Below are 14,499 nucleotides of genomic sequence, written 5' to 3'. Positions count from 1 at the left end.
CTAAGAGAACGGCACTCACACACACAGCAGACACATACATCAAAAAATCCCTTAGAGAACTACGATTATCATTAACCATTCAGTAGCAGGTCTGAATAAATTAATAAAAGGCAGCAGTCACTCAAAATGTCACTGAGCTAAAATTGGCCATTACACTATCCTCTGTGACTATTAAACAAAAGAAATACAGTACACAATGCAAATGGCTTAAGTATGACAGTATGTTAATAGTCCCTAAAGTCATGAGATACTTCCTTTAGGAAGTACTTTCAGGGAAAAAAATTAATTAAAATCAGCGTGGCAAATAAAACTACCTATTGGCTGGATCTCAGAGAGGTGTGTTGGTGGACTAGTCAACTTTGAATGTGAACTCTTCCCATAGTCACCCTTGAGCCCATGGCCACAACTTCTCATCCCTTATCACTTTGTTAGATGATTAGGACCTGCTTGCTGGCAGGCACATCTTGGTATGGGGTCATCCTCCCCTGGTAAGAAGTTCTTCCTCTTTAGGTACCACTCGAGTTGGCATGGTTCCCTCCAATTGGGCCTTCCTAATCTGTAATGAGCTGTCATCTTGTAGGAACATAATACTTCCTGCCTGCAAGAGACTCCTAGCCTTGCCCTTTCTGGTTCTAGAAGACTAGAAATCAGTACCCAATGTAAGAAATTGCCCATCCTGCCTGTGCTGGGAAACTACAATCCCAGCATCACACATGCTGAGACAAGGTGCTCAACCACATGCCAAACATTCTTATATGAGTATAACATGCCAAACATTCTTATATCCAGTAAAAATCACAAAACCACTGGATGTCTCCAAAATTCAAAAATATCAACTAAAATATCCCTTTCAATTTACCTTCACAAAAAAACTGCTGTCTTAAAGTTATGCTGAAGGTCTGCTTTCACCTGGGAATTTTAATGATCTGACCAGTCTATAACTTTCCAGATTAGCCACCATTGGAAGGCCTGCTGCTCAGCTGTTGGCCTCAACTACTAAGCGTATCAGGATTTGAGTCTACTAGTCCAACAGTGGACCCTCGTTTTCTTAAAGCCTGAAATTCCTTCAGGAATACAGCAAAATCCCCTTTCTACTGTGGTCACCTAAACTTCAGACTGAACAATGACAACTGCTGATATGAAAAGTGGTAAATCGTTAAGGCTAGTATTCTCTCTAGAAACAGGTTACTAATACTGAGGAAGAGACAGGACTGAGAATTGAGGGTAAAGGGACTCTACCTCTGCGTGTAGAATGGCTGTTACTCAGCTTCTGAAGGGATCCTGTGGCTTCTGCATTATAGCAGTAGGCCTTGGTCTTTCCCTAGAAATGGCATTATTGCTTTGTTGGGGGAAGGTGGTTAGTTGTATTTGAGACGTGTGAGGTACTGATACTTTTCCGTAATTCCAGTTTTCCTGCCAATAAACCAATGAAGCAACATCTCAATATATGAGACAGATTTTGTAAGAATACGCAAAGGATTTTATTAACACTTTGGAAAGAATACATTCATGTACGACAACTTCCTAGAAGTAAAATACGGCCAAAGAGATCAACTTTCACATAGGTTTTTATAAAACTGCCTAACACAAAAATACACATATATGGAGAACTTCAGACTGAGAATTACATCAGGACTGTTTCTTTGAGTTCGCCTTTTGTCTCAAAAATAAATAAATAAATAAATAGATAATAATAATAATAAAAATCCCAAATCAAGCCTTTGACAGGAAAAAGCCAGTAGATATCTTCTACTGTCAATTCAACTACTAAAATAGGAATAAGACAAATACTAAGACATGGGAGTTAAAAGGGGAAACATGCTAATATAACCAGAACTTCTAACTCTGCCAATAAAATGGCTTGAAGCTGAGGCAGGTTAGGAACCCCTGGTATCTGACCTAGACTTTTAAGACTAATAGCAGCAATTACAATACAAAAGTCCAGCTATTGCCCACAATTACTGCCTCTCAGGGGGTCTAAGTAATGAATTATTCATGTAACATATGCTCTATACCTTTAAAGGAAGAAACAGACAAATCTATACAAAACAAGCTAACAGACCTCTTTATGGTCATAAAGTTTGTCACCTGCTGTTACCAGCTGCCATAAGGAAGATATTCCTTGCCTTCCCCGCCCCTTCTAAGTGGAGAGCAAGCTGAGGGAGAACCGTCTTTTACTCTCAGGAATTTAGATGCTTAACCACATATTAAAGCGAGAGGTCGAAGTCCGCCCTGTGTTACAAGCCTAATCCTTACATTACAGTAGAGGTGCAGAGAGAGATTGGGAGAAGCAACTGCAGCCAGGAGGGAGCAAAGAGCTAAATTCTTCTCTCTCCACATTCATCCCACCATAACGTTCCTATCATCAAAAGGCAAGCAGTGACTGCAATTGTTTTGGAAAAGCTTCCAAACTTTTCAGATGGCATGATGTTGCATCTTTTCCCTCTGGCAATTGTGGTTTGTAAGAAAAAGCCCATTATTCTTTTAATGACTCAATCCAGTCCCGCTTCTACAGTATTTGTACTTGCAATGATCCATGGGGCATTCACGGTGAAAGCCACTGAGCACAGCTTTTTAAATATTAATAATTGACTTACATACCAAGTGAGGGAGGACTTCACCCCTTTCTGCCTTTCTTTTTCTTTAAAGACTGGAAATTGGAAGAAGATTGGTGTTTGGCATCCAAAGGCTAAAGAGGGCAGGAGCGCATACACGCATGTGGAGGTTTTCTGTTTTAACTATAAATGTAAGGTAGTATTTGGCAGGCTAGACTCCATCTAGATTGTGCCAGGAGCCTTCCTATGGAAAAAAGAGCTACACGCACATTTAATAATCCAAGCATTAAAGCTTCACAGTGCATGCAAGCACTCCATGTTTAAAACAGACACGCTCAGATAAAAAGCCTGAGGTCAGATGTGCCACTGTCACTGTGAAGCGACTTCTGCCACCCACAGCTGAGTCCCCAGGCAGAGGGCTGTACAGGGCAGTGCACGGCAGGCAGTGGCTGGACAGATAAACCTGAGGGGTATGGAGAACAGAACCCATGCCTACGAAGTCAGACTTTGGCACCAATACCCAGTGTTTTTTGCTGGATTTTTATTTTATTTTCATTTTCTTTTTTTTTTCTCCAAAGAAGTTTCAGTTAAATTACCAGCTGACTTGAGTACAAAGAGTTTCTTCTGATGTGGAATTCTAAAAGTGACAGGCATCATGAGAAGCCCTCCTGACCAAAGGAAGTAATTGCTAATTAGCCCTTTACTTGAAAAACATCTTTAAAGGAGACAGCAAAATTGAATATTCCTTATAAATTATACTAAACCACCAAAGAGTCAATAGAGCATCTATCTAAATGTATAGTGAAAAAAAAGGCAAGAAAGAAAGGAAAAAAGTACATTCATGAAGTTTGCTTTCTGCATACCTTTTCAAATTTTGTCAGCAGTTCCCGTAAGTTGAAGTTCAGACCAATCATTGTCCAGTAGCCCTTGAAGCCTACATCTTTCCGGCAAACTTCCTTCAGACAACAGCGTTTAACTTCTAAACACCGTATCTTTTCTGGCTATACTTTAAAATCCTTTGTAAAATCCTTTACAAGCCTTGCCCTTGAGCTATGGTCCATCAGCAGCAGCGGCAGCTTGCGCTGGGACATTTTAGCCACCCCACTGTGGGTCCGTTTTTTCATGGACTTCGGAGTTCGCAAGGAATAGACCTGCTTCTGTATTTCCTGGTAGCTGTGTTCCACGAGGCTGGCATGGTCTCCTCTTTCTCTGGGAAGTCCAGGATTCCCTTCTGCTCACCTCACTAATGACCTGCAGGCCACAACTGTTCTCTCCAGGGCCCCAAGCTTAGAGTTTGGTCTCAATTACATACAGCAAAAAAAGAAGCTATATCCTGGAAACTTGCATGAGAGAAGAAAAAAAAAAAGCCAAGTATTACCAACTTCCTCCATTCAGACCGATTTCAGAACGAAAAAAAAAAAATCCTGGGTAAAGAGCCAGTTTTCAAAGAGCATGACTTATGTAGAGTTCGAAGGAGGAGTGTACTCTTAGCTGAAGAAACACCAAAACACAGGACAAGAGGCCACCGGTTCTCACTCTCCCAGACACCAGCAGCCTGGGTTGCTATGGTAACCACCAAGCTAGTTTCAGTCCATTTCCCTAGGTCAGCCTGGCCTAAGGGATGCTGTCAATGCAACAGAACTAAACTTGTTTTAAAAGGTGTTCTGTCTGTCCAGAGAAAAGCTCTCGCAGCAAATCTAGTCCCTTCTGCCGGCTTTGTGGCAGGGGAGAGCAGCCTCAGTGGGCTCTGGCAGCTCCCCTGGCTGATCTGACAGCAGTGTGGTAATCAACTTCTCTTTCCAGCAGTTGTTTATTATTTTAATCAGCATCCTCCCTTTCCACCACCCCTCACCCAGTTTGAAGTGAAAGCTCACTCCCACTTCCTGGAGGCCTGCCTGCCCCAAAAGTCAGTTCTCTATCTTTTACATTGTCTCAATCTTGAATGGATCACAGGTTCCATGTTCCAGTTGGGAGCCAACCCATGAAAAGAAAAGGGAGTGAATGTACAAAACAATACAAATCACAAAAGGAAATACGCGTTGATTAATTTTATTTTTCAAAAAGGTGTTAGCAGGCAACTGATGAAGAAAATAGTTTTAAAGTGTTTCGATCTCTTTGATGCCGCTGAAAGTCATTCAGACTGTTTTCTTATAGGGAATTTACTTGTTTCTGACATAAAACTTAATGAGAGAAACTACTGTACTCAAAATGTGAGTAATAACTACATTGAATGTGTCTTCCATTTTGATGTTAAATTACTACTGGCACTCAGAGAAACACCATCTTCCAGGAAGTTTTAAGTGTCATCGCTTTAAAGAAAAAAACTCCAATCCAAATTATAAATTCTTTGTAGTGATATTATGGATATCATTCCAAGGCAAATGTGATTTTGCTTTTGCATTACATAGCTATACAGTATACCAATAAAGTATAACAGAAATGTCCATTTGAAACATGTTTCTCTAGTTGTAGGCAGAGTTTCATCATAAAGATGCAGTGCTTATAATGGTGACACTACCACAAGTAGAATAATGTAAATTTTAATATAAGTAAGTTTACTTTTTTTGCATCAGGGCATAGACCAAAGTGGGGGGGGGAACCCCTAAAATCAGAATATGCATCTCCTAAAGGGCTAATGAGTTGCTTAAATATCAATACCGTTAGCACTTATTTAATCATGGGTCGTAAGAGATTCCATTTAAAACCAGAAAAACTAAAAATCTATCAGGGAACAGTATACAATGTTGGTATTATTTTTTGGATTTGCAAATCATTTTTCTTTCTATTTCATTCCTAACTTATTTTCATATCAGTATTTAAATAGCATGTGTTTTACATATGCCCATCTATACAAATTTTAACAAGCTTTTAAAATATTTTCATTATTTTTTCATAAAAACCTGTATGTCCCCAGGGGCAAAATGGCTTTATGAGCTTTCTAGCAGAACGTGTTTCACCTCAACGCACATTTGATTTCAAAAACAAATGTGTTAATCTAATGCTTATTCAGAAATTCACAGGTAAAAATAATCTACAGTTTGGATCAAAACAGCACTGACATCAGCATGAAGACCAACCATCAGAACTGTGGTGAAGAAACTTACAGAGAAAGTGGCCACAGGGAACCTGGTCTGTAAAGACTCTGGGGCCACATGCTGAGATCTTTCAAGAGCAGCAAATAAACTTTTTACATAAATACAAGACAAAAGAAACCACCAGCACCAGCACCATCACCACCACCACACACACAAAAAAATAAATAAATAAAAAAGGGAGAGAAAAAGAACAATCTTTCTCAGCTGGGCAAACTTCCAGCTACCACCCAGGGTGCTGGATGGCTGGGATCAGGGACATGTGCAAACACGCCATTCCATTCCCCCATGCACAGATCAGAAGGGTGAATTAAACAAAAACTCCGTGGAACAACAGGGAATACCATAGTCTTTCTCTAAAGTAGACCCTTTCTGTTTAAAGGGCTCTTATAACAAGACAAGAATGATATGTTATTGTTAGAGTCCCACATATCTTGTATCCACACCCAAGGTTAAACACAAGGCATAAAGATGAGGGAAAAGAAAGGGTATCCTTTGTATTAGGCCTTCTTCCCAAAAGATAAGAGCATGGGAACTTTTATCAGCCTGATAAGTACCTGAGTCCTGGACAGGAGAAAGGAACAAGAGTATGTTCTCCTGTGGAATTCGAGAGTAGAATATCCAGAAACTGTTGCCTTTGTATCAGCTACCTTCTCAGAACTGACATCCTCTGCTAAGGTAGAAACGATGACACTTACCGAAAACTCCCTTATATACAGTTATGCAGCAACAAAAACTAAGATATTGACAAATCTAGCTATGATGTCAGCCTCTTTTTTTTTTTTTTTTTTTTTTTGAGATGGAGTTTCGCTCTTGTTGCCCAGGCTGGAGTGCAATGGCGCGATCTCAGCTCAGCGCAACCTCCACCTCCCAAGTTCAAGCGATTCTCCTGCCTCAGCCTCCCGAGTAGCTGGGATTAGAGGCATGCGCCACCACGCCTGGCTAATTTTGTATTTTTAGTAGAGACGGGATTTCTCCATGTTCGTCAGGCTGGTCTCGAACTCCTGACCTCAGGTGATCCACCTGCCTCGGCCTTCCAAAGTGCTGGGATTACAGGCGTAAGCCACTACACCCAGCTGATGGCAGCTTCTTTCGAAGAAAGAGTACAAAACTCAGTGGATCCATATTCAAAAACAGATCATCAAAAGAATATGGGATCATTTGAAAGATTTTTTTTAAATTCTTAACTAATTTTAATCACAGGGTAACTATACTCTCACTAAAACACAAGAAAGCAACTAAAAATGTTGTTTTTTAAGTGTTAAAGTCAAATAGATTATTCATGTAAATATCCAAAGTCATTCTGTGAAATTCAAATAGCTAAATATCTAATATATTACTCAAAAGTATTGCACTCTTTGATAACTGATACATTAAAAGACTTGTAAATGTGAGTTGCTTTTATAAAAGTGAGCACATTTCATCATGAATTTGTGTTTGATATCTATAAGATAAAGTGTACTTTCCATTACCCAGATGTAGTGGCCCATGACGATAATCCCAGCTACTTGGGAGGCTGAGGTGGGAGAATCACCTGAGCCCAGAAGGTCGAAGCTGCAGTGAGCCGAGATCGTGCCACTGCGCTCCAGCTGGGGCAACCAGAGTGAGACTTTGTCTCAAAACAAAGAGTACTTTCTTAGTTTAAAGTCAGTACACAAAATATCATCTTGGTAATATACCTACATTTCTACAGTCCTTTTTTATCAACCACCTCTTTGATACATTATCACCTGTAATCCTGTAATTATTAAAACAAAAAATAGATGCCTCCAGTGTAAGCAATACATCACCAGAGAGACTTAATAAATTAGATGATGACATTTGAAGTAGTTGACATTTTCCCAATTTAAGCCAATGTGCAAATAAATTGTTCACTAATCCTCAGTAGGTGGAATATGCTTGACACTACCAATCCCTGTATCAGATCAACACTGAATAACCCAGGAATCTCTAGCTAAATAAACCATGTTTCAAACATAGACATAGAGTTTCATGAGAAAGCAAAAAGTTCCAGAACCACAGAGAAGCACAGGAAAACTCAGCAATGGACTCAAGAAAATCTAAATCTAAACTGCTTAATAAAAACCACATTCCAATGCCAAAATGAAGAGAGCTATAGGTATGGCTTTGCCAACAACTTTCAAAGGGTAGGACAATTTACAAATGTTTTGTACTTAAAAACTATATTTCATATAATTTGTTAAAAGATGACCTATTTAGTAATTTTATTAAGGCAATAAAAGATTCTTTACAGCTCAAATAAGAACTTTACATCTTACTCCTATAGTGGATCTTAAGGCACCCTTCCCACTAAAGACAATTTTTAAAACTGTAAAGATCAAGTATGTTTTCTATGTAAATTCTAACAGGTTTCTCTTTATATTGGCCAACACAAAGAACAAAAAGAAAAGAAAAGAAGAAAAGCTTCTTAGGAGCCTCTAAAGTGAAGCATATGGAAGGTCAATAGGTGATTACACATAAATCGCTACATCATGGCTTATTCATTACTAAAATGAGGAGTTTCTGGCATGGGGAGAAAAGTTTATTTGTTGTAAGCCCATTCTGACTCAAAGAAAGATCCAACTTATTTCTTGTGAAAGAAATATACACAATTCTCCTTTTCATAACCCTTCTAACTTGGGATTTAGAATTCAAAAATAAAATAGCTTCAAGACCCTAATCGTGATCTGAGTTTTCAATTCATTGTCTTCTACCACTGAAGTTCCATTAGGGAGAGACCAGTCCATACATTTCGACTTTCAAGTTAACATCAGCCTGCAGCAAAGTGTGTCAGCTGGTAGCTATTTAAGGTAATATACAGCCCTAAAGGGCAAAAAGTTCAATCTAAGGATGGAGGCCTGAGTCCCCTGATGAAAGGGAAAACTCTCCTTTTATCCCAGGAAGTTCAGGCACTATGCTTTGTACGCAAAGAATTATTTTTAATGTTTGTCTCTTCAGTATAATGCCATCTACTTTGATAATTTTACAGGTGGTCATGGAGAAATAAAAATTAGGATTCATAAGAAAAAGATTCAATACTTAATATATTTTCTATAACACATAACCAAAAGATTCCAATAGACATTCAAAGAGGCTCAAAGAGCTTTTTCTTCTTCAGGAAAATGGGTGGGTGGGGTAGGGGTTCAGGAAGAGAAATACCAGCTGATTTGCTTCTGAATTAGCCAACCAGGTGCAGGAGTCAGCCTTCAGCAACCTTCTAAATATTTAACAATTCAGACGGCACTTTATTAGGTGACTAAAAATAATGCCAAGACAAGTTAATGCTTCCAAACCATATTCTTCCTAAAAAATATGCAGCATCAGACAAGAGGGAAACAATCTCAGGAGGCCAAGCCTCAAATTCCAGATGTCTACTGACAGCACAAGCCTGTAGCATATGCAACTAAATCCACAGGGCTCTGGGAAAAAGGCTCTTAAAGGTTTTCAAAAGGTTTTATAAAGGTTTCTCCAGTTTTCTTCAGCTATGTAGATTTAGTAAATTGAAGCCAAAATTAAAATACAAATTTTAATAACAGCAACTAAAATGTCAAAACAAATCAAAATTGAAAGCGCCGTTTTCAGTCACAAGTAAAAAGCTGGTACTTTCCCCAGGAGGGCATTGTTACTATAATCTGAATACATATTTAAGGAACTGAACATTGGGTAAACACAGAGGAAGTTCAAACTAACCCCACGCGATCAGCTATACTTTTGTGTATAATACTAAGCAGTGGGATTTCTCTCATGCTTGGAGGCTAATCCATTCATTGTGGAGCTACTGCTTCAACTCTGAACCATGTCCCTGTCATCTTCTTACTTAGGAACCCATTCTGCATTCTCTGCAAAATCACACTCTAAACCTACTTCAACTCCCTAATCATGATCCATCTTCACTAATATCACCAATAACCAGTTAATACTTAACCACATGAACCACTCACACTTACAACTATGGTTTCCCACAAAAAGTCACACACCACAATCACACATTTTCTCCCCTCCAGTCATATTTACTTTCTGTACCGTTATCTCTCTTCCTTCAGATGTTTGCTCTGAGCAATGAGTTCTACATAGACGGTGAACACAGACAATGTATTATGCACCTTTCATGGAAATCAGTAGGCTGATTACAAAATGAAGAATTCCTTTACTTTAAGTCATTACATTTCCTAGAGATTATTAGAATCTGCCAAATTTGAGGGTAAGGGATAATTTAACAATGCCCATCAAATGTTAAAATGCATATAACTTTTGACTCAGAAATTCTATCACTAGGAATTTGCAAACATGTGTACAGACATATGTACAAGGATGCTCAATAAGTCCTACTTGACTTATTGAGCTGAAAACAATCTATATGTCCATGAAAAGGTAACTGGGTAAACAAGTTATGGCAGACTCACATAATGAAATGCTGTACAACTATGGAAAAGAGAGATAATTTCTTTTTTTTTTTTTTTTAAGATGGAGTCTCGCTCTGTCGCCCAGGCTGGAGTGCAGTGGCGTGATCTCCGCTCACTGCAAGCTCTGCCTCCCGGGTTCACACCATTCTCCTGCCTCAGCCTCCCAAGTAGCTGGGACTACAGGCGCCTGCCACCACATCTGGCTAATTTTTTGTATTTTTTAGTAGAGATGGGATTTCACCATATTTGACAGGATGGTCTCAATCTCCTGACCTCGTGATCCACTTGCCTCAGCCTCCCAAAGTGCTAGGATTACAGGCGTGAGCCACCGTGCCTGGCCAAGAGGGAGATAATTTCTAAGAGCAAATAATTAACCTCTAATATGTATGCACGTACATATCCTATGTATACGCCAAAAAGGGGGGGAGTGATATGTAGTTATGTACAGGTACAATCTATGAGATACAGATAATATTTCTGTAAAGATCTATAATACAGCAATAATGGCGACCTGGAAGGGAGGGACTGGAGAGCTGAGTGTCTAGAATGAAACATTTCAATGTTCAATCTTTTATACTGTGTGAAAATTTCACCACAGCCTGTGTTTCTATTTTCATACAAAATTAAATCATTAGATAGAAAATACCCAAGTAAAACACATTTACCTTCCTGAGTAGATACCTATTCCAAAAAGGGTGGCATCATTATATTTGAAAGCTAATGCTACTGGAGACAATTATTTTTGCCTTTAAAAGTTTCAGAAGTTTTGAGGTGCCAGATGGTCTAACACTACCAAACCAGCCCTCAATAGAAACAAGCTTTCTGCAGCAGTGGGCTGGTCAATGGTAAGCTTTTCTAAGGGACAGACAGAACAAAGCCTTTTTGTTGTCATAAGTTACTTTATAACTAGTAACTCCTGCTTACTTAAAGGACAACTTTGTGTCTAAACAGGCATTATATAACTCGAGCTATTCTCTTCCCAAGGAAACGAGTATCCCTATTGTCATCTAATACTGTGATACTACGGTCTAAAGTTTTTTGGAATGTTTATAAAAATCCATTGATAACGCTTGAAAATGAATGTCTGGCCTGATTTGTCCAGGCAATTGAAGCATCGCTTTATCTTTCAAGTAGGTTTAAGTGATCCCACCTAGACTGTGGCAGAGTGAAAGCGCCAGAGTCTACTAGTGTCTAAAGAGATGCTGCAATGTGAATAGCACCTTCGTACATGGATCTAAGTTGCAGAAGTGAAAAAGAAAATTATAGTTTAATCGTGAGGGCAGGTCTTTCCCGTGATTTTCTTGTGATAGTGATTAAGTCTTATTCCCTGGACCCTGTTTGTCAGGTTCAGAGACAGGAGGCTTTATGTGCCATGAAGGTTACTGTAACAAAATATTAAAGGAAATGAACGTCCACAGGTGAAGCACCATCTGACACTGACATCAGCCACATTCTTGTTTAGGGATAAGTTAAGCCACAGTAGAAGGGACTTTGCAATGTCTTGTCATCTCAAGCTCTGCATTTGAAATTGCTAAACAAAGGAATTTAAAGTACAATTTCCATCTAGAATTTAATCTGGAGAGTGTTTTAACTTTAAAATCAGAATATGGAATAATTAGGAAGTAAAAGAGCCTTTAAAAGTACAACACAATGGGGACTCAGGGGAAAGTGTGGGAGGGGGGTGAGGGATAAAAGACTACACATTGGATACAGTGTACACTGCTCAGGTGATGGGTGCACCAAAATTTCAGAAATCCCCACTAAAGAACTTATTCATGTAACCAAACACCACTTGCCCCCCAAAAACCTATTGAAATAAAAAAAAATACTGTAAAGAAAATAAAAAGGCAAGACACAAACTGGAAGAAGATATTTACAACACGCAAACTGACAACACTACACATTGGTATAGAAAAGACTATATGTAGTTCAGGATGATAAGAACTTAAGTCATCAGAACATAACTTCCTCACTAAAAATTGAGTCAGATCATTCTACTACTATGATAGTCTGAAAAGCAATACAGAAAATGTTTTAATTGTATGAGAAAATATTCATTGATGTTACATGTAAACTAGATTACTTATCTGTATTATTTCATCCTGGCCCTATAGTATATATTTCATGGGATAAAAAAGAAAGAATAACACTCTCGAAATCAAACGACCTGTGTCATGATTTCCTTTATGACACTTATCTAGCTGCTTGACCCTGGAACTCTTGTCTGAACCTTGATTTTTCTGTGTAGAATATTCCTCTAACACTTGAGCAAACACTCTTATCAAGAAAGACATTCACTAGTACTATATAATTGCGCATTTGTTTCAACACAAATTTATTGAGATTTAGATAGTTTTAGTTACAGGACAATTAAGACTTTCTTATTATTATATGTATACCAGAAATGCCTGCATTGACTTTTTCAGAGGTGAGGGTTCCACTAGTTTTCATATATATCAAAAAAATTGATAAAAACTCTAAAAATATATTATTATAGTATTATTATTTCGGTTGGTTTAACAGCAAAAACCGTGATTACTTTTGCACAAACCTAATATTTTGAGAGAAGCTAAGTGTATGATATTTTAAAATATTTCTTCATTTTTTACCACAAAGAAAACTTGTTATGAGTTAACACTGGTTATTATTAACAATAAAATTTTAAAATAAAATATAAATAGGTTACATAAAGATTTATCAATGACCAGTAATTATTATTATTATTATTATTATTTGAGACAGAGTCTTGCTCTGTCGCTCAGGCTGGAGTGCAGTAGCGCAGTCTGGGCCCACTGCAACCTCCGTCTCCTGGGTTCAAGCGATTCTCCTGTCTCAGCCTCCTGAGTAGCTGGGATTACAGGCTCGTGCCACCACACCTGGCTAATTTTCGTATTTTTAGTAGAGACAGAGTTTCACCATGTTGGTCAGGCTGGTCTCAAACTCCTGACCTTGTGATCTGCCCGCCTTGGCCTCCTAAAGTGCTAGGGTTACAGGCGTGAGCCACGGCGCCCGGCCTATGACCAGTAATTATTAAAAGCCAGATTGAATAATAAAATATTCATCACATCAGTGAAGCCATTCCTAAAATAGCAATGCTCTATTGTATTCATTGACGTATCCCCAGAAATTACAACAGTCTCTACCATATAGTAGACAACCAAAAGTCGTTATTGAATTACTAAATTATCTCATACATATCATCTCAAACAACTTTGAAACTTTAAAACAAGTTGGAATCACCAATTAATACACCCACATATACACACTACTTAAATATCAAAATATCTTAATATTTTTTGATATTTCTTGCTTCTTTTCTCTTCCACCTCCTGATATGGTTTGGCTGTGTCCCACCCAAATGTCAACTTGAACTGTAGCTCCCATAATTCCCACGTGTTGTGGGAGGGACTTGGTGGGAGGTAATTAAATCATGAAGGTGGGTCTTTCCCATGCTGTTCTCCTGATAGTGAATAAGTCTGATGAGATCTGATGGTTTTATAAAGGGGAGTTCTTCTGCACAAGCTCTCTTGCCTGCCACCATGTAAGATGTGCCTTTGTTTCTCCTTTGCCTTCTGCCATGATTGTGAGGCCTCCACAGCCATGTGGAACTGTAAGTCCATTAAACCTCTTTTTTTTAAATAAATTACCCAGTCTTAGGTATGTCTGTCTTTATTAGCAGCATGAGAATGAGCTAATACATCTCCTCACAGGATTTCTTCACGTCATCATTCCTGAATCCAGTCTCTCTGTATTCTCCAGTTCTGTATGCTGCATGACAAACCTAACTGAATTTGAAAACTAATGAAAAAGTTACTTCCTTTAGCTCACCTTCTATTTCCTCATTAAAGCTAGTATACTAGTAGCTAATTTAAAATAAAAAATAAATATGACAGTTTTTAGAACACTTATACAAAATGCTTATACCTTGCAAGTTCTGTTTATGCTCCATCGAAAACACTTAACATTAAAAAAAAAGAAGTTCCCTTTAAGTTCCCGGCTTACAGATTTAAAATTCAAACATTCTTTATACTGTCGTATCATTCCCTGTTTCTTTAATGATTCTCCATATTCCAACCCCCAAATAACTAAACTGTGATGCAGTGCTGTCCAATAGAACTTTCTGTGATAATGAAAATATTCCATCTTTGTGTTGTTCAATAATAGGATGGCTATTAAACATCTGAAATGTGGCTAATGATGTGACTGGGGAAATACATTTTGATTTTGATTTTAATTCATTTAAATTTAAATAGTCACATACAACCAGCGGCAATGGTATTGGAGAGTGCAGCCCTGACTCCTAACTTTCAAGGTGCCACAATACAGCCTTATCCTACCTACCAGGCATCATTCCTACAATGTTCTAAACAACAGGCTTTCCTAGCATGCCCTGATGCACTTTGTACTTTTTCTCTGTTGACAGGATTCTATTTTCTTAAATAATAGCCT

At 38.3% G+C, this 14,499-nt stretch overlaps 1 protein-coding gene across 2 annotated transcripts in view, besides 1 other annotated feature; it reads right to left on the bottom strand.

Moving 5' to 3' along the window:
• UTRN (utrophin) overlaps positions 1-14,499 on the bottom strand; it is a 567,700-nt gene that overhangs the window by 189,341 nt on the left and 363,860 nt on the right. The gene's annotated exons all lie outside the window — the stretch shown is intronic.
• Positions 9,547-9,841: a silencer, noted in NCBI's record as "tiled region #10150; HepG2 Repressive DNase matched - State 5:Enh". NCBI's record gives its function as "represses a minimal TATA promoter and a strong SV40 promoter by Sharpr-MPRA in HepG2 cells {active_cell/tissue: HepG2}" and the evidence as "EXISTENCE:reporter gene assay evidence [ECO:0000049][PMID:27701403]".

Source organism: Homo sapiens, chromosome 6 (genome assembly GCF_000001405.40).
Source record: "Homo sapiens chromosome 6, GRCh38.p14 Primary Assembly".
NCBI classification, from domain to species: domain Eukaryota; kingdom Metazoa; phylum Chordata; class Mammalia; order Primates; family Hominidae; genus Homo; species Homo sapiens.
Note: the sequence above shows the minus strand (reverse complement) of the source record. Positions and strands in the feature narration are given on the sequence as shown.